The sequence below is a fragment of the Homo sapiens genome, chromosome 3 (assembly GCF_000001405.40).
Source record: "Homo sapiens chromosome 3, GRCh38.p14 Primary Assembly".
Lineage (NCBI taxonomy): Eukaryota > Metazoa > Chordata > Mammalia > Primates > Hominidae > Homo > Homo sapiens.
In genome coordinates, this window is record NC_000003.12 from 43,529,058 (window position 1) to 43,552,384 (window position 23,327).

The 23,327-nt window shown below is 36.9% G+C and overlaps 1 protein-coding gene across 25 annotated transcripts in view, besides 1 other annotated feature; it reads right to left on the reverse strand.

Moving 5' to 3' along the window:
• The window catches only part of ANO10 (anoctamin 10), a 325,747-nt gene that overhangs the window by 163,210 nt on the left and 139,210 nt on the right, over positions 1-23,327 (reverse strand). For 14 of the 25 annotated variants that reach the window (NM_001346469.2, NM_001346468.2, NM_001204833.3 and 11 more), the window contains one exon: positions 20,663-20,791. In NM_001346469.2, coding sequence (NP_001333398.1) covers positions 20,663-20,791 — 129 coding nt within the window. Of the gene's footprint in view, positions 1-1,498; positions 7,612-20,662; positions 20,792-22,414; positions 22,532-23,327 lie in introns of those variants that run through there. The other 11 variants (NM_001346463.2, NM_001346464.2, NM_001346467.2 and 8 more) reach the window with 5 other exon arrangements.
• Positions 7,089-8,023: an enhancer, noted in NCBI's record as "OCT4-NANOG hESC enhancer chr3:43577638-43578572 (GRCh37/hg19 assembly coordinates)". NCBI's record gives its function as "activates a minimal SCP1, AML or CMV promoter by ChIP-STARR-seq in primed H9 embryonic stem cells {active_cell/tissue: H9 hESC(primed)}" and the evidence as "EXISTENCE:reporter gene assay evidence [ECO:0000049][PMID:30033119]".

The following is a 23,327-nucleotide window of genomic DNA, read 5'->3' on the forward strand; positions in this document are numbered from 1 at the left end:
TATCTGTGATCTGAACCAATCAACTCTAAGACATATGCCTATAAAATAATTACACTAATATTAAACACTTGGTCCTCCAAACAAAATGACCAAGTCACTTGCTAAAGGAAGGAAAGCAGATTCACATCAGAGTTTGACAGCAACAATGCAAGACAACAGTGGAGGGGCATTTTCAAGAAATTTCAAGAACTTTGAACCTTTTGAACCAAAGTATTTTAAAATCCAGCCAAGCTGTCCTTCAAGTATACATGTTATAGAACCTAATATGGAACTTATGTTCAAGAACTTGAGAACTCTTCTTGAGAAATCTTTTGCCACTCAAAGTGGGGTTCATGGCCCACAGCATCTATACCATTTGGGATTTTTTTAGGAGTGGGAATCTAGGCCCTGCCCAAGAGGTCCAGGTGATGAGTATGCTCATTATTGTTTGAGAACTGCTATACTGAAGAACACGTTTCATAGAACAAAGGGGAAAAGGAAAACTTTGGCAAGATGACTGATGGCAAGCAACAAAAAGATTTAAACCTATCTAGAACTAAAAAACATATATGTAAATGGTAAACATTCTGACAAAGTAGAAATAGTACAACTGAAATAATGAGAGCAGAAGAGAAAAGGGAGAAAGCAGAATACATAAATTGTCAAGTAGATAATACATAATAAAGGATATTATTTTAAACTGACAAACCAAACAGTAGAAATCTAAGTAAAAACAAAGGAAATTAGGATATTATAGAATATAAAACTATAGAGGTATAAAACTAACTTTCCTAAATACTTGCTCCCTACCAAGGAAAGAAACATGGTAAATATAACATAATACCAGAGTATATATAACATAAAATAATATGATAAAGTTGAGACCAAACATATTCTGCATCTCAATTAATGCAAATGAGCTTAAGACACTAATCAAAAGAAAAATACCTGACACTTTCTTGCAAAACTAAACCCAATTCTATGCTGTATACAAGAGACACACTTAGAGTGATTCAGAAAGGCGAAAACTGAAGATATACTAAGGAAAAATAGAAATTAAGAAGATAGGGGATGCAATCCTATTATCAAAGTGGAATTAAGGTCCAAAAGCATTAAAGAAATATTTTTATAACCTCAAAGATCACAATTAAAAATGAAAATGTAGCAGTTATAAATTCCTATGCACCAAATAACACAGTAACTACATTTATAAATCACAAACTACAACAGATGCTTTCTAACAGGAATACGCTATTGAATAGACTTTAACAACACTCTTAAACCAAAACAAGTGAACGAAAAGTAAGCAGTAATTTAAAAGATCTACACGTTATGTTTAACAGGATAGAGGTTATATAGGTTATATATTTCTTATATAAAACATATAGCCTATATATTATATATATTTTATATATGGTATATATAAACTATAAAGGTTTTCTATATATGCATACACAGATATATAATAGGTATGTAGTAGTCTCCTTATCCGCAGTTTCACTTTCCACAGTTTCAGATACCCGTGGTCAACTGCAGTCCAAAAATATCATAGTATTTTGAGAGACAGAGAAAGAAAGAGACCCCACATTCACATAACTTTTATTAAAGCAGTATTTTGAGAGAGAGACCCCATGTTCACATAACTTTTATTAAAGTATATTATAATGATTGTTCTACTATTGTTGTTAATATCTTACTGTCTCTAATTTATCAATTAAACTTTATCATAGGTATGTATATATAAGAAAAAACAGTGTATACAGGGTTCAATACTATCTATTGCTTCAGGCATCCACTGGGAGTCTTGGAACCATCCTTTGCAGATAAGCTGGGACTAATGTGTGTGTGTGTGTGTATGTGTGTGTGTACAAATAAAACATTACACTGATAAGAGAGGATATACCTTCTCCTTGGGCACACACAGAATATTCAAAAACCTAATCCTATGTTAGGTCATAGAAAAAGTGTTGATATCAAAAGGCATGTTATGTATGTAAAAGGCCAAACTTGGGTATTCTTTTAACTAAAACCTGTGTAATATGACTAATAAACTCTAGGCAAAAAGACAAAAAATAAGTCTGTGGTCACTAGCAGAAGTATTCTAACTTTCAAGTATGTCTACATGCTGTAGAGCTAATATTTCAACTATTTTGAAGACAAAACAAAATGACAGATCTTCAAGAACCAACCTACATTTTTAAGCAAATTATTTTACTTTGGAGAAATGTTTTTAACAATCTTTAAATTACACGTTCTGGCTTAATCTTTATCTAAAGAATTCACCAAGATCTATGTCATCTTAATAGTGGCTTATAAATTATTCCAGCTTTTTCAAATTATTTTGTGAGAATAAAGGTAAAATAAGGGATTCTCATGACTCAGATAAAGTTCTCTATCTTCTAATGTCTATGGAAGAGTCTTTTCTTGCATCAACATTTTAAAATATGAAATGAAAAGCTACTATGCTGCATTTTAGGTTTCTTATTGGTATAAAAAATAAATATATAGGTCTCTAAAATAAAAATGTGTGATCTGACGATTTGTCATTTACATGGTAATTAAAGCATAATCATGAGGCCGGGCGCAGTGGCTCACACCTGTAATCTCAGCACTTTGGGAGGCTGAGGTGGGCAGATCACTTCAGGTCAGGAGTTCGAGACCAGCCTAGCTAACATGGTGAAACCCCATCTCTACTAAAATATACAAAAATTAGCCAGGCGTGGTAGTGAGCACCTGTAGTCCCAGCTACTCAGGAGGCTGAGGCAGGAGGATCACCTGAGCCCAGGAGGCGGAGGTTGCAGTGAGCCGAGATTGGGCCATCGGCCACTGCACTCCAACCTGGTGACAGAACAAGACCCTGTCTCAAAAAAAAAAAAACAAAACCCATAGTCATGAAAGAGCCAAGAGCATTGTCACAAGCTCAGTGATGCTTCACCCAACAAACTTAAACCCTCTTCACTCAGTCACCCCGTCCACATTGCCAAGCAGCATCCTGCTGATTCATCTGCCAGCCCTATGTATGACATCAACTGTACCTTGCCAACAAGGAGAAGAGCTGAATCACAAGCAGCTAGGATGAAAGTCTCAAATATTCCCCTAAAGCTCTTAGTAATGCAAAAGGATAAAGGTCCCATAGTCAAAAGGACAGAGGACTCAGACTGTCTAAATAAAGAGGCAATAGTCACTGATGCTCTGATAATTGCAAATGCTATGCCTTCGCTTAAACTTCTCACGTTTAATGGCTTAAAATTCTTTCCAAAGATTAGGGGAGAAAAAGCCATCATCGCTGCCTTGCCATCCTTGCTCAGTTTAGAACTAATTTTATACTAAATATGAAAACACAGGTAGGTGTATACATGCAGGGAGGAGTAGATAGAAAGAAATAATCTGACTAGGTCATTGGAAATCCCAATTTTCATAAAGGAGGCTATACAACTGTTCATCCAGTATAATACTGATTCCTTAATGACTTCCACAGATGTATCTTTATTTGCAGAGATACATAAAATTCTCAAAACAAAATTAAATTGTTTTTTATATCATATAATAAAATTGACTGGTGTATTGTTTTATGAATTTTAATGCACGTATAGTTTCATATAACCACCACCACAATCAGGTACAGAACAGTTTCATCACCCACCAAAAATCTCTCAAGCTATATCTTTATAGTTAGATGAAGCAAAATTAATTTTAATTCATATTATTTTAATGCTTTTTCCCATAAAAGAGTAATGCAAAACAACAACAGCAATCTCCCCAAAACATCTAGGAATCTCCAACCCAGAGATTCAAATACAAAGTGATATGGTAAGGTTTCAGTCTAAGTGAGGAGGGGAATTCATGTAAAGCACATGCCCTGTTCTAAAGGCAAGATTCTTTACTTGGTCATCCCTGTTCTGCATGGCACAAACGTTCTCTATACTCTCTGTCTTTGTGTCCTCTATGGCAAAGCCAGGACCTAAATCCAGGAGAAGCTCAATAATACCTCCCCTTGCTTCCAGGCATGATAGAGCCCAAGACTTCATCAAAATAGTCGGTAAAGACTCAAACAAGAAATGAGCTGTTAGCAGAAAAAAAATGGTAGCACATTTCAGATGATGGAAGTGAGAAGCATGTTGTCAAGTGAAACCAAGAAAGCTGACGGATATGTAAGGGTTGGAGAGAAAAGCTGATTTAGCAAAAGCAGGAATGAGAAAGGAGCCAAAAACAGGAAGGTTAAGGCAATTTCATTCAAAGAACCATATCACTGAGGCTAAGCCATGCCCCTGCCTCCAAGTATCTCTCCTCGAAATAAATTATTTGAAGTAGAATTTGTAGGCCAAAAAGTATACTTATATCACATGTAAGTTTTATGCAGCTTATTAAAAAAACACTCGAAAGCTCCCTAATCCAATGCATTTTTGTTGAGTTATTCTACTAACAGATTCTTATTCCATAGTTCCACAATTATCTATTTAAACAAGCTTTGGCCTTAGTAACAGTAAAGAAATTCATTCTTATTTTAAAAACTTTAATAAATGCACAAATAGACAGCTCCTTAGCTTTGACCCCAGTCCAGTACCAGTACTATCCTTGGCAAAAAGCAGGACAAAAATATTTGTTATTCATAAGCAGTTCTTGCTTTTGCTAAATGATGGTGAAACTGATCCAAATCTGAAATAATAAGCACACCAATCATTGTACTTCAACCTGTCATTTATTCATGATGGAAGAATTTCTCTTATTCTGAAAAGGTCAAACTGCTTTGTAAAATACCATTCAAGTCATAAATTCCAAAGTTCAATAGCATCAGAGGTCATCTTACACATGGATTCCTTTACATTGAAAATTTTGTTAATTGCCAATAGCATTCTTATTTGTACTAAACAACTAAGTGTAAAACAAATTAACTAAATTCTGCTTATGAATTAATGCTTATTTACATACACTTGTATACTTGTTTATCTGCACATTAAATATGCCTGGAAGCAAACATAAGAAACCAATCACACTGGCTGCCTCCACAGAAGGGAATTTGTTGACTGGGAGACAGGAGAGGGTTCTTATCACTGTGTTTTTGAGCCTTTTGAGTTTTGAATCATGTAAATGCATTATTACCCAGAGAATAAGTACATAAAATTTAAATAAAGAAGATAATTATTTATGTAAGAGAATACCTTTCTAGTTTGCACATGCTGTCAGCTAATAACAAAAATGAAACTATCAAAAGACATGAGGCAGGCCACCACTGTCCACATGGGAGGTATATATGGGAAATAATTATTTCTCTAAAAATTTGATTAAATGTTACATTTTAGAAGACAAAGAGCTGAGTAGAAATGCTTGAGAATGGTTCTTTCTCCCAATGATTGAAATGGCCATCTGAATGCCTTCTGTTTTCAGAACTCTGTTCACGTGTATGTGAGCATGTGTGTGTGCATGTGAACGTGCGCGCATGAGAGAGAGCGCGCAAGAGAGAACGGGAGACAGAGAGAAAGAGAGAGAGAAGGGGGTTGGGGGGAGGGAGGGAGGAGCAGCCATGTCTCTGTAGAACATAATTCCCTGACTCAGACAACACTCCTGACAACACCAATACACAGAGCCAAAGGGTGAAAGCCACCTCTCTGCAGAAAAGTCCTGCACCCCGACCCACTGTCCCAATGTCCACCTGGAAACAGACAGTAAGGCAGTGGAGCATGACAGCTTGAGAGTCAGGATGGGAGCAACACAGCAGGCACTGCTCCTGCTCAGTAGCTTGAATGTTATCCAAACCCAACAACTGTCTTAAGGAGGAGAGAACCATATATGTAATTACAGTGCTGCAAACCAGTACAGGTCAAAGCACTACTTGTTAGCAGCCCATGAACAAGAGATGACTTGTACCAGAATGTAAATCAACTGTGTCACTAAGCACACTCAGAGCTCTGCTAACTTTTTTTTCCTATATGTAGATTTTTTTCTTTTTTTTTTTTTGAGACAGAGTCTTATTCTGTCACCCAGGCTGGAGTGCAGTGGCACAATCTCAGCTCACTGTAACCTTCGCCTCCCAGGTTCAAGCGATTCTTGTGCCTCAGCCTCTAGAGTAGCTGGCATTACAGGAGTGCACCACCACACCCGGCTAATTTTTGTATTTTTAGTAGAGATAGGTTTTTGCCATGTTGGCCAGGCTGGTCTCAAACAAGTAATCTGCCTGCCTTGGCCTCCCAAAGCTCTGGGATTACAGAAGTAAACCACCATACCTAGACATTCTTTTTTTTTTTTTTTTTTTTTGAAGGGGGGAAGAGGTCTCGCTCTGTCACCAGGCTGGAGTACAATGGTGCCATCTTGGCTCACTGAAACCTCTGCCTCCAGGGTTCAAGCGATTCTCCTGCCTCACCCTCCTGAGTAGCTGGGACTACAGGCACGTGCCACCATATCCAGCTAATTTTTGTATTTTTAGTAGAGACGGGATTTCAACATGTTGGCCAGAATGGTCTCGATCTCTTGACCTCGTGATCCACCTGCTTTGGCCTCCCAAAGTGCTGGGATTACAGACATGAGCCACAGCGCCTGGCCTCCTAGACATTCTTAAGGAAGGAAGCAGGATGTTGATTTATATTTTAGTATGAGCTCCTTATTTTACTGTGAACTACTAACAGTTCTCAGACCAGCACAGTGTGGGCCACAGTTAGAGTAGCACTGTGAGTATAAATGACAGTAAATTTTAGTAACACAGTGACAAAGACAACCAGGAGAAAAATCCTGAAAATCCAAATTCCATTAATCTCAGCTACTGTGTAAACTAGTAACTATGATATCAGTTGATAAAGGCTTTAAAGATTAAGTCTCTTTAAGTCTTCCCAAAGACTTTAAAGATTATAAAACTCTCCTGAAGAGGAATGAATAAGCAGGACTTGGCACCCTAGTTTTGAAAGTCTGTTGTCCCTCATTTTAAAGCATAAAAACTATAAGATAAGTACTGACAAATGTTTGTTATCCAATTGACAAATTAACTTTCACTTGGACCATAATCACATACTTATTAGTCTTTTGTATTTTAAAAACGCTTCTTCAGCTTAAACTCTTAAAAAGTTTCTTGGCTTAGGATACTTTGTAGATTATTTAAACATTCCTGATAAAAGTAAAACACAAAAGTAAATGTAACATTCCAAGTTGTTTAAAATGCTTCTTTCAATTTGAAATTATTTCTTTAAAAAGTACCAAATACAAACTTTATATTTATTAATGATTCCACTGATATCAACTGTGATCCCTCACTCATTAGAGCACTAGAATTCTCAATCACTCCCAGTGTGCCACTTCCTATTGCCCTTCTGCAAATCCTGATGATTCTAGAAGCACATGAATACCCTGTGCCCTCAAAACGGTTAGCAGCAGTAGCATATTACTTTCTACATAGTCATTTGCATTTATGGACATGACCTACATTTTGAAAGAGTGTTAAAACATAAAACAATAGATCATTTTTGTTCTTAAGTTTGATCAGTGAATTCTCAAATGTATGAGAATGATGCCTCACCTCATTAATTTCCTCTCATCAGCAAAACAATACTCAAGATGAGCAGCTCCTTTAATGGTAAAATGGAGTTCTGGGGCTCAAAGAAAGAAAAGCTTAAAAGCCCTCTTCTTTTGTTCCTTTCAGCAATATGCCTAAAAATTCAATTATAAAATCTTATTTGGTGTTTGAAAGGAGCCATTTACTATATAAAATCAAATTTTAGATTAACTGGTTTTCGGTTGCCTTGTTCTTAATTTTGAAAAAGAAAAAAAATCTACTTTTTTCATCTTGTAAACATGTCCTAAGCCACAAAAGATTTTCTAAAGCATTTTTTCAACAAGTTTTTATACATTTTAAAATTTACCTTTTAACTTAAATAGAAAATCACTCATCTTGGTGTATAGCACTTTCAGTTTTAATAAATGCACCCAGCTGTGAAACCATCACCATAATCAAGATACAGAACAATTTCATCACTCAAAAAAAAAAAAAAAAAAAAAGCCCTCACCTTTCACCTTACTCTGAGTCCTTGGCAACCATCCTCGGTTAAGTTTTAATGTCCAAACGTAGACTAGATGTATATTACAGCAATCTCCGGGACAAATTTAATAGCAAAGAGAAGACAATGCCAAGAGCTCTACCTGTCATCTTGCTCATATGTCCTTCCTACACACTCAGTGGGTAAGAGGCTTATAGGCTGTGGAAGAATATCATTGGTCTATCAGAGAGCTCCTCTTTCCTTGGGTTTCCTTTTCCAGCATAAAAGAATATCAACAAACTGTATTCTTTCTACTCATATCCCACCTCCTTTTTGCTGTGAAATATTCCCTCAACCTGAGTTCCTTGTGCACCAGTGACCACATCACAGGCTTAATTATTAGCACAGATGGTGCCAATTAGTTCTGTGTGAAGTGCTGAAATGGAAAGGATAATAGAAGCATTACAAGCTTCCTAAAAATGGTCACAGCTGGGGCCCAATGATGACAGCTTGGGGGCAACCATATCTTTACATTCTGCAGCTCACCTTCCACCTCCTGCTCCATCCACCAGAGCAGAACCATGATCTCAGGCTCAGAGCAGGCATACTTTATAAACCACACACACACACACACACACACACACACACACACACACACGTAACTAATATACGTCAGATAGGAAGAAATTTTCTTAGAAAGTAACCAATATTCAAAAACCTTTCTTTTCTGTTCATTGTTCTTAATATCCTTAGAAATAGTCGATTTCAGTAACATAACATAATGGGACTGGGAACACATTTTATTAGTTAGGAGGAAATTATAGTAGTAGTATTAACATCTTACATCTGTAAGCACCCTGGAGTCCACAAACCACCGTCACATAGTTTCTAATTTAATCCAGTCTTAGCCACATGGCACCCTGGAGGACTACAAAAGAAACTAAAGACCCTCTGAAGCTTTTAAGCTACAGACTAAAAAGGGTGGGGGGACAGAAGTAACAAGACATAAGAACAAATACAACATATCAAAATAACTAGAAACATTAAGATCTGGTCAAATTTATACCATTTCACCAAACCCAAAATACATAAATGTCTATGATACTAAAAAATGATAGTTAGACCTGGCCCTATTTTTGATATAAAATTTCAGTATAAAAAAAACAGCTAAGTGTTTCTAAAAGTGAAATTTGACGTAGCATACTAACACAGCATTTTGAGTTTGGGGTATTGTTAATGTGGGAAACCATTCCTAAAGAAATGGGTTATTGAACAGGGTCTACACATTGACAAATATGAATTTAAGAACAGCATTTTAACTGAGGAAAAAAAATAAGAAAAGAGGTATCAAAAACTGTACTGAAATGATCTTGCTTGTGAGTCCAGCTCTTCCAAAAGAAGGGTGAATTTATTTTCTTTGTATCTCCAGCACTGACTAGAAATTCAGAAAAAATTTTTAAAACGGAAATAAAACAAGTTATGTGAAAATACAGAAGGATACCTTAAAGAACAGGTTTTTTTAACAACAATTACTATGGCAGCTTTGTAATTCTGGCAGAAGAAAAAAACTGTAACGATGGCAGGCATAAAGAACTGGGATCTAACCCACAGGACTGAAGAAACGGAAAAAATGAGGTGGATTTGAGAACAATCAAGAGGAGAAGCTGAGGCAGACTCCAGCTGGTCTTTTGGACTTGAGGGTGGTTGGACCAGAGACAGGAGAGGCTAGATGCAGAGGGGGATGCAGGATGGAGAACGGCCTGCTGTCTACACACACAGGGGCAGGTGCTTCATAGACAAGAACTGTTTCAGCTTCCTCAACCCAACGAAGAGGCTGCTCCTGGTAAGGAGAGGATTGGAAGTTCAATCTCACAATAAGAAGATACAGTAAATTCAATCCACAATCTATTCATTTTTAGAGATCACTGGAATGGCCAAGTAGAATTTATGTTAGTGAATGAAAATGAATACTGCAGTCATGACTTTGAAAGTGTTTTTTAAAATACCATTTTGGAATAAAATGTAAATGGGCTATAAAGTTTTCATCATGACCTTAGAGCCCTCCATCAGTTTCCCCATCCATTACCTCTTATCCCCCAATTCATACTCTCCACTCTCCCTAAGAAAACCTACAGTCTCTTATTTCACCCCTCCTGCTCCCTCCTGGTACTGGAGCTGCCCCCACATTCCACTTTTTCAACGGGTCCCCTGCCACACAGAGCCACCTCAAATGTATTCCCATTAGATTTGAGACTGCTCAACACACAACTCAATATTGCAAAGAACAGGGGTTTCTTATGTGTTGCAAGTCTATTTTCAACTTTCTAAAGCAACACTTGCTTTCCAACCTAGAAAAAAAAAATAAAACCAAACGTGCTTTTTTATCTCCCCATTAAAATAGATAGGAAGTCAGAGAAAGAGGGTCAGTTTGACTCTGGATCAGTTCAGGCATCTGAAAGGAAAGTTAACTGTCATGCAAGAATGAGGTTAGCAAGCAGGTCCCAGAGGAGGGTGACGCACCTAGCAGGTCTGTTGTTGAGAGCGGGAAGCACAGGCTGGGGTGCAGTAGGAGACAGCAGAGGGAGCAGGTAATTGACAGAAGGTCTTGAAAGCATGAAATGAGAAGAGACAAGAGCAACAGTCCTCAAAGATGAATAACCCAAATCAGTTTTTTGTTTGTGGATATCTGAAGTATTTACATTTGAATATGGATACATATGATGTTCTGTGATTTCACTTTAAACAAAATAATGATGCCAGACTTTGAAATTATGGCTTAAGAGTACAGAGAAGCTGTTGAATTTTCTAATGCTTACCTCCTTTCAGACAATTGTTTTCTGAAAACAACTCTATTCTGAGTGTAAAACGATCTCTTGCAGAGGGGTGAGACTTGCCTTCTCCTAAACTTTCTTAGGCAAGAAACAGGTTAGGTTACCCACTGTAAGACCTTAAAAAATTGCAATGTAATCTGCAAAAACTGGATGTTAACTAAGTCATATTTAAACAGATTATACATTAACCATCAATTCCAAGGGCATTGGGTTTTTCAACAAAACAAGTATTTCCCATTACTTGACAAACTTAAAATCCTAATTTAGCACTCCCAAGGAACAGAAGCCCATTTAGATGACACAATTGGGGCCAATAATTCCTTCGTTAATCAAAACAGCTAAAATGCAGAATCATACAAAATGCATATATTCATTTTGTTTTAGCAAACATTTAAATGTACACTAATTTGCAAATCTTTTGCTGTAGAGCTAGGGCCCTTCCTCTGAGTAGGATCCAGTGATGGACTGTCTCACTCTCTGCTGCGCCTAAATAACACCTATAAGACAATGTCTAAGATGCCCAGGTTTGTTTTCTTTAAAGGAGAGTGAAAACTTAAAGACACTTGTGAAGCAATGTAAAAACAGAATCTGGCTGTCCATATTCTGATGATTTTTCCCTAATCTTTTATAATTGTCTCATCTTTATTCAATCTGACAGCAATTTGTCTTTATGAAGTCTTTCCAAAGGTTTTCATAGAAATGATGGCTCTATTTTAGCACACACTTTTCATCATTCTCCATTCCATTTCATTAAATTATGCCAATTACAGTAACAAGAATACCACACATAAACAGATTTGGGAACAAAATGCCTCTTGGTGAGCCATAAACTCAGTGAGTGGACATCTTCCCCATCATCCTCACACCAATGCCCACTCAGCAGGCCAACAGAGCCTGCACTAGTCAGGGCACTGTTAGGAGGGAATGGAGAGAGCTGGGTTAACAGGGGAAGGAGGTGAAGAAAGAGGCCTCCTATTGCACTGAAATGTATCTCTTGCATAATTCTGTCTGTGAGCATTCCTGAAGCCAGGGATGTATCATAGTAATGCCTAGCATATTTTAGCACATAATAAATATGTATTCAATGTAAGCATTTGATTTGACTAATTATTCCCACAACATTAGGAGAACACAGAGCAATGTTTTATCCAGATAACAGCTAAAGAGCCCATGGAAAGACTAGTAAATTCCAAGATTATCACAGGAATAAAGGAAACAAGAGGAGGAAGAAAAAAAACCCAGTTCCATAATTCTATTCAAAAGCACCCTAATCCAAAAATAAAAAACCAACCCAACTCATGCTCAACAATGGGAAATGGTGACCAGATTAGTAACTTAGTTTGTTGTGGGCTCCTTTGTAGGCTAAGTTTTAAACTGAATTCTCAGAACTTAATCAAACCTTTCAATTAGGTGAAGAGACTTCTATGACAACAGATTGTTTTTCAGAAACAATGACAATAATAGCTAACAAAACTAAACACTTAATCTTGCCAGGCACTGTACTAAACATACTGCATGCATTTATTCATTTAATCCTCCTAAGTTTGTAGAAGTAGGTACTCATTTGAAGACACAGAGCTAGTCAGTGGTGTAGCCAGGATTTGAACCCAGAACCTATGTTCTCAACCACTATACCATACTGCCCAATATAGTTTGCCTTTTCTTATAAATGATATAATTTTAATATTTTACTTAAGGGTTTTCTTAGTATACTTCTCAAAGGTACATTATCAAAGTCCTTATAATTATAAATTAATTCTTAAGTAATTGGCACTAACTATATGTACACTGAATAAAAAAACTATATATGACTCATTCATTAATTAATAAACGTTTAACAAGCAGTTACTTAATCACTTGAAAACAAAGAGTTAAAGTAACTCTACTGAGTTACTTTATGAAGCTTCTCAGTTACTGAGGCTTCATCATATGCTGTCCTTGCTCATGCTCTCAGGAAGCTCGATCTGGTAATGGAGCCACGTGATTGTCATACAGTTTTAGTAAATGATAACAGTGACTTTCACAAAGGGTCCTAGGTTATCCAAGGATGGAATGGAAGCCAGGGGAAGTGAAGGGGAAGGAGACTAACAAACATCTGGCATTCGACTAACGCATTTCTTCTGTAAGCCATGGACACCCATGTGAGGGCCACAGCGGAAGAGAAATATGATCAGAGTTTCATTTAGGAATAACCACTCCAGCAGTAGAGAGCATGGGCCAAAGGAGGAAAAGCAGGAAAGCCAGAAGGCTTTCCTTCTGTAAAAAAGATCTGCTGTAAAAGTTTAGGTGAGAGCTCCTGAACTGTATGCTTTAAATAAGGGAATTGTATGGTGTGTGAGTTATGCTCACCACAGCTGTTTTAAAAAGTATGTCTAGATGAGAAATGGTAAGAACATGAACTCAGTGACAAGGGAGAGAGCCGAAACAAATATTCAGAAGTCAGAATCAGCAAGTCTTGATGAGGGATGAATGAGAGGGAGGGAGGGCTAGGCTGAGGCGTGGAAGTAAGATCAGCAGAGAGAAGAAAACAGCCATGCCACAGATAGAAGGTACGTAAGAGAGGGAGATAAACATGTAAGCAGCAAACTGTAACACAGACGGAACCAATGCAATGCTATGATGGAGAGCCTGGCCCATGACAACAAATCTAGAGCTGACAGAGTCATATGAACTAATTGCTGAAAGAGGAACTCATTAACAACAGTGGTGCTATAAACTGTTATCAATTTTCCACTTCCTCCTCTGCATCAAACATGGTGCCTGACACTTCTTGTGTACACTACCAATGTCTCCATTTTATATCCAAGGAAACTGAGACTCAAAGATTAAAAGGAAATGCTGGGATTCTAATTCAGTTACCACCAGACTTTGACACCCCAAGCTACCTCTATGCTGTGACACTACCTGCTTAACCAAATAATCATGAAAATGATAATAAAGATAACGAAAGTTTCATTCTGATACTAAGCTGGTTAGAACTGCAGCTCACATCCCCTGTGCCTTGACCAAGTACTCAGCCCTGTGTTTGGCATTTCACATATACAACCTCATCTATGCCTCGCCTTGTGAGAGTGGTAACAAGACCTGCAAATTAGTAAGCACCTGCTCAATACCAGACACATAATCAGAGTTATACATGTGTTATTTCTACTCTTTAGAACACTCATGCAAGGGAGGCTGCACTGGCCTCACTCTGAAGTCAAGGGAATGGGCTCACAAGACAAGGTGATACCCTAAGAGGCAGTATAGGGATAGAATCCACATTTGTATAGTTTCAAATATCTATAAATCTCTCTCTCTTCTCTCCCTCTGTTTCTCTCTCTCCTTCCCTCCCTCTCTCTTAGTTGAGAGAGAGGAAGAACACATGTGTGACAAAATGTTCAAAATCAGTGAATCCTGATAAAGAATATATAGGAATTATCTGTATAATGCTTGCAACTTTCAAATCTGAAACTAGGAAAATAAAGCCTGTGAGTCAGGGCACAAAAGAACCTGGAAAGGCTCAGTTCATTCTCAGAGGATACTTCTGGTATTACAGATAAGACTCAATTCTGCTTCTTTTCTTTTCTTTTTTATTTTTTTGAGACGGAGTCTCGCTCTGTCACCCAGGCTGGAGTGCAGTGGCCGGATCTCAGCTCACTGCAAGCTCTGCCTCCCGAATTCACGACATTCTCCTGCTTCAGCCTCCCAGTAGCTGGGACTACAGGCGCCCGCCACAGCGCCCGCTAATTTTTTTGTATTTTTAGTAGAGACGGGGTTTCACCGTGTTAGCCAGGATGGTCTTGATCTCCTGACCTGTGATCTGCCCGCTTCGGCCTCCCAAAGTGCTAGGATTACAGGCGTGAGCTACTGCGCCCGGCCTCAATTCTGCTTCTAAGCAGCTGCTGGCAGATGGAGAGGGGGTGCCACATGAAAACTTATTTTTTAAAAGAAACTGTAATTAAATGATATTTTTTAAACCACGAATTAAACATGCATGGTACAGGCAGGCTTGGTGGTCACCAGGCCCTAAACATTAGAAATGCAGTGTAATTTCTGGGATGAGTAGTTAACTCGTCTTCACCTTAGAAAAAGAACCAAATTTAGTAGGTAAATTGTCAGTAATTCAACATGTCTGATAGGTACATCTTGCCAAGTTTAGAATTAAAACTGTCAATTAATTTAGAATTAAAACTGTCATTACTAAAATGAAGTATTATCTAAGATTTAATATTTGGAAGATATCAGGCCATTTCTATTTTTTAGAAATTGGAGACATACATAATTCTGCAGGTAAAGTAGTAATCTTTTGCTAAAAATTACATCAAAAAAGCAAACTAAGTTTGCCTCAAAAAGAAGGATGATAATTACTTAAGGGAAATTATTTGAATATTGATTTAATCTTGAGAGCTGAACTTTATGACACCGCCAGTATTTATTTTTAACCCACAAAAAATGGCATTTTCACATGTTTTCATCTATTACATTGGTAGGCTATTCTCTGGTTCAGTCTACAAAAATTTCTTTATTTTGCAAATGAAAGTAGTGTTCAAGTGTCATCAATTTTTAAAGGCAACACTAGATGGCAGTAAATACACAAAAGTTGTGACAAATGACACAGTTCTCATAATACAGCAGTGATCATTTTTGCCTTTACTCAGTTTCATCTGTACTAAATCAAGCTTTAAAAAAAAATGAAGAATCAGGGCTGGGTATGGTGGTTCACACCTGTAATCCCAGCACTTTGGGAGGCTGAGGCAGGCAGATCACTTGAGGTCAGGAGTTCGAGATCAGCCTGGCCAAAATGGTGAAACCCCGTCTCTACTAAAAATACAAATATTAGCCAAGCGTGGTGGTGTGCACCTGTAATCCCAGCTACTCAGGAGGCTGAGCCATGAGAATTGCTTGAACCCAGGAGGCAGAGGATGCAGTGAGCCAAGATTGTGCCACTGCACTCCAGCCTGGGTGACAGAGCAAGACTCTGTCTGAAATAAAAAAAAAAAAAAAAAAAAAGAATCAGAAACCTGCGTAAAAAATAAAGTGACCTGGCTTTGGAAATGTGATCCAGAAAAGCAATAGAAACTATCAATTCATCCAATTTTAAATTTTGAGAACATTAACACTCAACATCAACTTTATAAAATTGTTACATTTTCTAAGTCGTGTTTGTTCTGTTAACAAATTCTAATCATGTAAATGTATCTAGATATTTATTTGGTTAATTAATTTGGAAAAAAAGCATCTTAAATTGCTTTTTCCATCAAGACGTTAAAAATTTATGAGAATTTTTATATATTTATAGACTATGGCATTTTTTGAGTTAGTAAAATTTCTGCTCTTATAGGGGCCATGAATAAACATATGAAAGTATAGCATGCTGTTAATTTAATATGCTACTAGCAAAACTTTTTTAAATCAATAAGAACATTATGTAGACTCCAGTAAAAAATTCTATTTTAACGTTAATTTTAAGATTTAATTTCCTTATTTGAAAAGATTTTCAGATAAAAGAGAAAAATCTTATAAACAGAAACATGTTAATTGACCCAATGATGGTTTTTTTTTGTTTGTTTGTTTGTTTTTTTTTTAGACAGAGTCTCTCTCTGTCGCCCAGGCTGGAGCGCAGTGGCGCAATCTCGGCTTACCATAACCTCTGCCTCAAGCGATTCCCCTGCCTCAGTCTCCCGAGTAGCTGGGATTACAGGCACGCACCACCATGCCCGGCTAATTTTTGTATTTTTAGTACAGACGGGGTTTCATCATGTTGACCAGGCTGGTCTCGAACTCCTGACCTCAGGTGATCTGCCCACCTCGGCCTCCTAAAGTGCTGAGATTACAGGCATGAGCCACCGTGCCCGACCCCACTGATAGTTTTGATGAACATTCTGTAACATTCTTTTTTTCCAGCTTTATAGAGGTATAACTGACAAATAAAAATTGAAATATATTTAAGTTATACAACATATTTTGAAATATGTATATCCTATGAAATGATTAGCAAAATTAATCTAATTATCATATCTATCACCTCACATAGTTACCTTGTAAAATTCAGAATTAGAATTTTAACATGATTTTACAAACTGAATGGTAGCAAACCAAAAATTTGTATTTTCTATTCTATTTGTAAATGTTACACTTTTTGGATTCATTACAAGACCAGATGGCATTCAGCTGAGGTCTCAGCAACACTAGAATAGCATTGGTAAATTTCTAATTTTTTGGCTATTTTAAACAGCTTGAGCTTGGTTTTGTCCTGACACACAAAATTTTCTATTGAGAAACCAAAGCTAGGGCCCTCTCAAATGTATGAAAGTCAATAAGGTATAAACAAAACAAATATTCAAATACACACTGTGACAGAAAGAGAGGACCCATCTGTGCCAATATAATCCAACTTCTGATCGATAGTTAACATTTTAAAATATCATAAAATAAATAGCCATAGCTTACTGCAAGCACATTGACATAAATACACACTGAAACAGCCAAAACAATCTTGAGAAAGAAGAACAAAGTTAGTAGTCTCACACCTCCTGATTTCAAAACATACTACAAAGCTATGGAAATCAAGAGTATGGTACTGGCATAAAAACAGAAACACTGACCAATGGAATAAAGAGCCCAGAAATAAACTGTATACACAGTCAAATGATTTTGCAAACTTTGCATATACAGTCAAATGATTTTCAACAAGGGTGCCAAGACCACGCATTAGAGAAAAGACAATCTTTTCAACAAATGGTGCTGGGAAAACTGGACATCCACATGCAAAAGAAATACAAGTTATAAAAACAACCAAATGAAAATTATAGAACTGAAAAATGCAGTAATAGAAATTAAAAAAAAAAACACACCTCAGTATATGGGCTCAATAGTAGTGTGGACATATAGAAGATGTTGAAACAGTGAACTTGAAAATACATCAACAGAATTCACCTAATGTGAATAACAGAAAACAGGCTGACAAAAATTGAACAGGGCCTTAGGGACCTGTGGGAAAATACAAAAGACCCAAGATTCATATGAAAATCCCAGGAGAAGAGAGAGAGTGGGGCTGAAAGAGTACTTGAAGAAATAACGGCTATAAAGTTCCTTAATTTGGTTAAAGACACAAACCCACAGATCTAAGAAGCTGAGCATGCCCCAAATGGAATAAACTCCCAAAAAGCTACACTAAGGCCCATTATGATTAAACTTTCAAAAATTAAAGATACAGGGAAAAAAATCTTAAAAGCAGCCAGAGAAAAAAGGATCCATTAACTACAGGCGAACACCAATTGGAATGATATATTTCTCTTCTGAGACCATTGAGACTAGAAGGAAATACCAAAATGTTTTTCATATGCTGAAAGAAAAAGACTATCATCCATGAATTCTATGTCCAGCAAAACTATACTTAAGAATGAAAGAGAAAAAAAGTTTTCAGATGAAGAAAAAATTAAGAGAATTTGTTGCTAGCAGACTGACCCTTTAAAAATTGGCTAACAAAAGTTATTACAACAGAAAGGAAAATGCATTTGTTTCTCAGGGTTGCCAGAACAAAGTTATCACAAACTATTATAGATGGCTTAAAACAGCAGGACTGTATTTTCTCATAGTCTGGAGGCTAGAAGTCCAAAATCAAGATGTTGGCAGGGCTATGATCCCCCTGAAACCTGCAGGGAGCCTTCTTTGATGCTTCCTGGCTTCTTCCTAGCCTTCCTTGATGCTTCTTACTTTGCCAGTTTAGACAATGACAATTAAAACAGCTGTTTTTATACAATGTGAAGAGACAATAAATAAATAAATAAGAGGAGGCATAATGGTTAGAACCTAGAGGGTAACAGCCAAGTATCCCTAGAATGTGCAGATTAAGTGAATCGAGTGAGGATTAGACTAGCAAAACCATCCTGTTTAACACGAGACTAGCCACCTGCAGAACAGTATTTATAGGCCAGTAAGTCTCCCGAATTAAGTAAGAAGAACCAGGCCCTCAATATGTGATTAAGGTATCACTAAATACAAAAGAAAGCAGTAGGCTAATCAATGGTAATATATTGAGCCAGCCAGGAATCTAGAGAAAGTGAGGGCAAAAATCAAGATGTAGACTGTAATGAGCTCATCCAGCATTGCTCAGAAGCTAGCGATGGACACCAAGAGCTGGCTCATGAGAGAGCTCTGCTCTGTGTGGAGGTAGGGATGGTTTTCAGGTTTTCTGCGTATTTCAGGATATTACACCACTCCTGCTCTTGTTCTAAATTTACCAAGAAATCTTCTAATAACCAATCCACCTTCACTTTAACATCCACTGTTACGGTATTGGTAAAGTATCTTTTTATTGTAAATTAACCACCTGGCTTTCTGGTCAATCCCTTGTAAGTTTCATGAGTTTTAAGTTTCAGTCAGTCCCAAAAGCCTTTAATTAACTCTGAGTATACTGGCAAAGACAAATTTTTAGATCTGTGAAGTGAAGTGCCATATTCTAAATCAAGAAAGCACACTACAAGCCTAGCCAGCTGGTCTCTCCCTGTCAAAGGTAACTCTGTCTTGTTTTCTCACTTCCACAGGTCATAAATCAGCCTTGCAAATAGCTCTCCAAAATTCTATTCAACTTACAAAATTCAAAATAGACTACTTGTATCTGTCAGGGCCATTTTCTTTTCCCTCCCACTCACTGCTGTCTAAAATCATTCTCCAAAATGCATATTCCACATATAGCATCTATCATGAACACAGATTCCTACCAAATACAATAAGAGCCAAAAAGAGCAAAGCAGAATATATTTCTTTAGCCAACACTGGAAATGTGCAAGTTCATGATTTCCTTTCCTCTGGTCAGCCCTGAGTCCTAAGGCCTTAAGTATATGAAACACCATTCAGGATCCTCCTAAGTTCTGCTTTTATAGAGTTCCATAACTGTTTTGTTTTTAAAATATCTAAAAATGAAAGGTGGTTACAATATTCTTGACAACTATAATTACAAGCAACAAAAAAAATTCCTACAAATTATTCCATTTACATTTGGTTAGTGCTTAATTTCCAAGATGTTACAGGGATCCATATTCTGAAACATGATAAAAGAAAAACGTAAAAAGAGCACAGACAGCCTGCTTGGGCTTTGCATGTGAAATTATCTATCGTCCTACAAATTACATTTTGAAGTTTGAGAGTGTTTCACAATGAATTTCACACCTGTAGCAAATGAGACTTAAGTCATTATCAAAAAGTGTTTTTAGGATTTGCTTAAGAAAGTAGAACTGTCTTTTCTCTAAAATAGACTAAAAATACATATTAAATGTATGGAATTTGATTTTGAATAGGATTTTTTTTTTAAGGGACAGTGTCTCGCTCTGTTGCCCAGGCTGGAGTGCAATGGTGCCATCATAGCTCACTGTAACCTTGAACTCTAGGGCTCAGTCAATCCTCCTGCCTCAGCCTCCCAAATAGCTAGGACTACAAGAATGAACCAAATTACAGTACCAAATTACATCAGGTACCAAATTACCATCAGGTACCAAATTACATCAGGTAATTTTTAAATTTTTTGTGGAGACAGGGTCTTATGTTACCCAGGTCTTGAACTCCTGGCCTTATGTCATCCTTCTGCCTTGGCTTGGGTGCTGGGATTACAGACGTGAGCCATGGCACCTGATCCTCAAATAGGATTTACCTACTTAGCACTGGGCAGGCCAGCATAATAGTGGAAAAGTCACTTCCTGTTTGCATTGTGGTGACAGTTTTTCATACTTGGGCAATAACCATGAATACACAGCCTGAATCCTCATGTTTTCTATTACTTGAACTGTTTTTGCTTTCTTACCAGTAAATCCATATTGCTCAATTGTCAGTCATGGACAGCCCGAGACAGCACTGCTTTGGAATAGAGAAACGTAATATGGATACTGCTTAAAATAAGTTTAAATCTTTACTTACCTCCACTGCTACTACAATCAAAATGAGGTCTGCTTTTGATTCTGGAAAGACTGCATTCACTTGTGGTGACATTCCAATCAGCGCACAGTTAGTGACCACAGATATAACACTCATCGTTTCAAAAGCCAACTAAAAGAAAAAAGAATGGAAATTAAAAATTGCAATGACTGCTTCCATATTTCCTCATCCTTTTTCATGTTATCTAAAAATCAAGGAAAATGTCTTACCCTAGTTCTAAACATTCCAAGTACATTTTAAATTTTTTTCTCTGTCATGGTATGATTTTTTTAGCTGAAAAAAAAGCCATACTGTTAGGCAGTATTTTAGATACTTTTGGCATGAATATCCCAAAGCAGTATGTTCTATCTTCCTAATTGGAGGCAGCCCTGGACCTGAATTGGGAATACTGTTAAAGTTACTCTACTCACATCTAAGGGGAATCTAAAGTAGGGCTGCCAGGGAAAAATGTTTCACATTAAAAAACAGGTAAGATTTCAAACAGAACTTATGTTGTGAAACCATCCTTCTACTTTGACATCACACACCACATCTGACTCAGCTATAACCAGCTTTATAATCAAGGCACCAGTGATAAATGGTGATCCTTTTCTAGCATCATTTAGCAAATCAAATGTAGAACTTTAGAAAAATATAGATGCTAGGCCCCACTGAGACCTACTAGACAAACTGGTCCAGCATTCCCTGAAGGAGACTTTGGTGCATACTGCCAAGGATGGATGGAGAAATGTTGTGACCATTGCTCTTTTTTTCTTTAATACAAAGTATATGGTGATCACCACTTAATAATTTACCCATTAATTCCAAGAAACACAAGTACTATTAGAAACATTAATTTTAAAAGAAGCAAAACAAAAGATGACTGAATCCAAACTTAATATGAATACATTTTGTCCCATGGAGAACTTCTGCCATCTTACAATTTAGAAATCTTTGTGTAGTCTGATTATTTTTCCACAGTTTTCTTCATAAGAAATCTAAGACTGTCTTTACTTTAGTTTAAAATTTCTATTTATTTACTTTTGATTATATTCTCATGGCTTAAAAATAAAAAATTCTAAGTACATAGTGAAGAGTGTCTTTTTCCCTTGTCCCCTTTTCTTCCACTTCGCAGCTCCCATTCTCCCTAGAAGACAACCACTATTTGCAATTTCTTATGTATTCTTCCAGACAGTTTGTATGCAAAATAAGCATATTGAATATATACACTCTTTCCTACTCCCTTTTCAGCATACTACATACTGTCAGGCCCCTTGCTTTAGTCATTTAAAGTGTCTTGAGGGACTTTCTGTGTCAATACTAAAAGAGCTCCCTCATTCTTTGCCACACTGCTTCTGCATTTTATTACATGGACGTATCAGAATTTATGTAACCATTTTCTTATTGGTGGGCATTTAGTTGCTATTACAAACAGTGCTACAATTGGTGATCTTATAAGTACATCATTTAACAAATGTGGAATTAGGCTAAATTCTGGAAAGTGAAATGGCTGAGTCAAAGGGGACATGCATTTGTAATTTTGATAGATAAATACGAAGCTGCACTCCATGGGTTGACCAGCTCATGCTTCCACCAGCAGCATATGACAGTGCCTGGCTTCCTGAACTTGCAATATGTTTGTAACTAAACTTTCAGGTTTTTTTTAAAATCACCTATATTGAGTTATAATTTACATATAATAAACTGCATGCATTTAAGGTATATACTTCATTACCTTTTGATAGGTGTATTTACCTGTGAAACCACCACCACCACAAACAAGACACAGGACATTTCCATTTCCCCCAAAAGATTCCTCATGACCTTGCAATTCAGCCCTCTCTTTACACCTGTGTCCAAACAAAATATGATCTGCTTTTTGTCAATATAGATTTGTTTGCATATTCCAAAATCACATATACATTTAAGATTGCTATGTCTTCCTGGTAATTTGACACTTTTATCATCATAGAATGGTCCTCTCTGGCAATTTTTGCACAGATGTCTATTTTATCTGATACTAATATAGTCATTCCTTCTTTCTTTTGATTAATATTTCCATATATATCTTTTTCTATTCTTTTACTTTAAACCTACCTAAATCATATTTGACTTGAGATTCTTAGAGACAGCATATACTTCAGTCATGTGTTTTAATCCACTCTCCCAATCTCTGTCTTTAATTGTTGTTTGACCATTTACAGGTAATGTAGTTATTGATATGTTAGGATGTACGGCTGGTCATTTCCTTGTTTTCTGTTTGTTCCCTGTTTTTCATTTCTCTGCTTTCTTTTTCCTGTCTTACTGTGGTTTACTTGAACATTTTTCAGAATTCCATTTTGGTTTATCTATAATGTTCCTGAGTATATCTTTTGTGTAATGTTTTTAGTGGTTGCTCTAGGTATTATATATCCGTAACTTATCACATTCTACTTGTGTCATCTTTTATCAGTTTGAGTGAAGCACAGAAACCTTACCTCCCTCTACCATCTGTTATTTATAATATACTTGTCTTGATATAGGGAAAAGAATCAGACAGTGTATCTTGTCTACATAGGTTGGGTATAGTGGCTCATGCCTGTAATCCTAGCACTTTGGAAGGCCAAGGTGGTAGGATCATTTGAGGCCAACCTGGTCAACATAGTGGGAGCCCATGCCTACAAAAAAT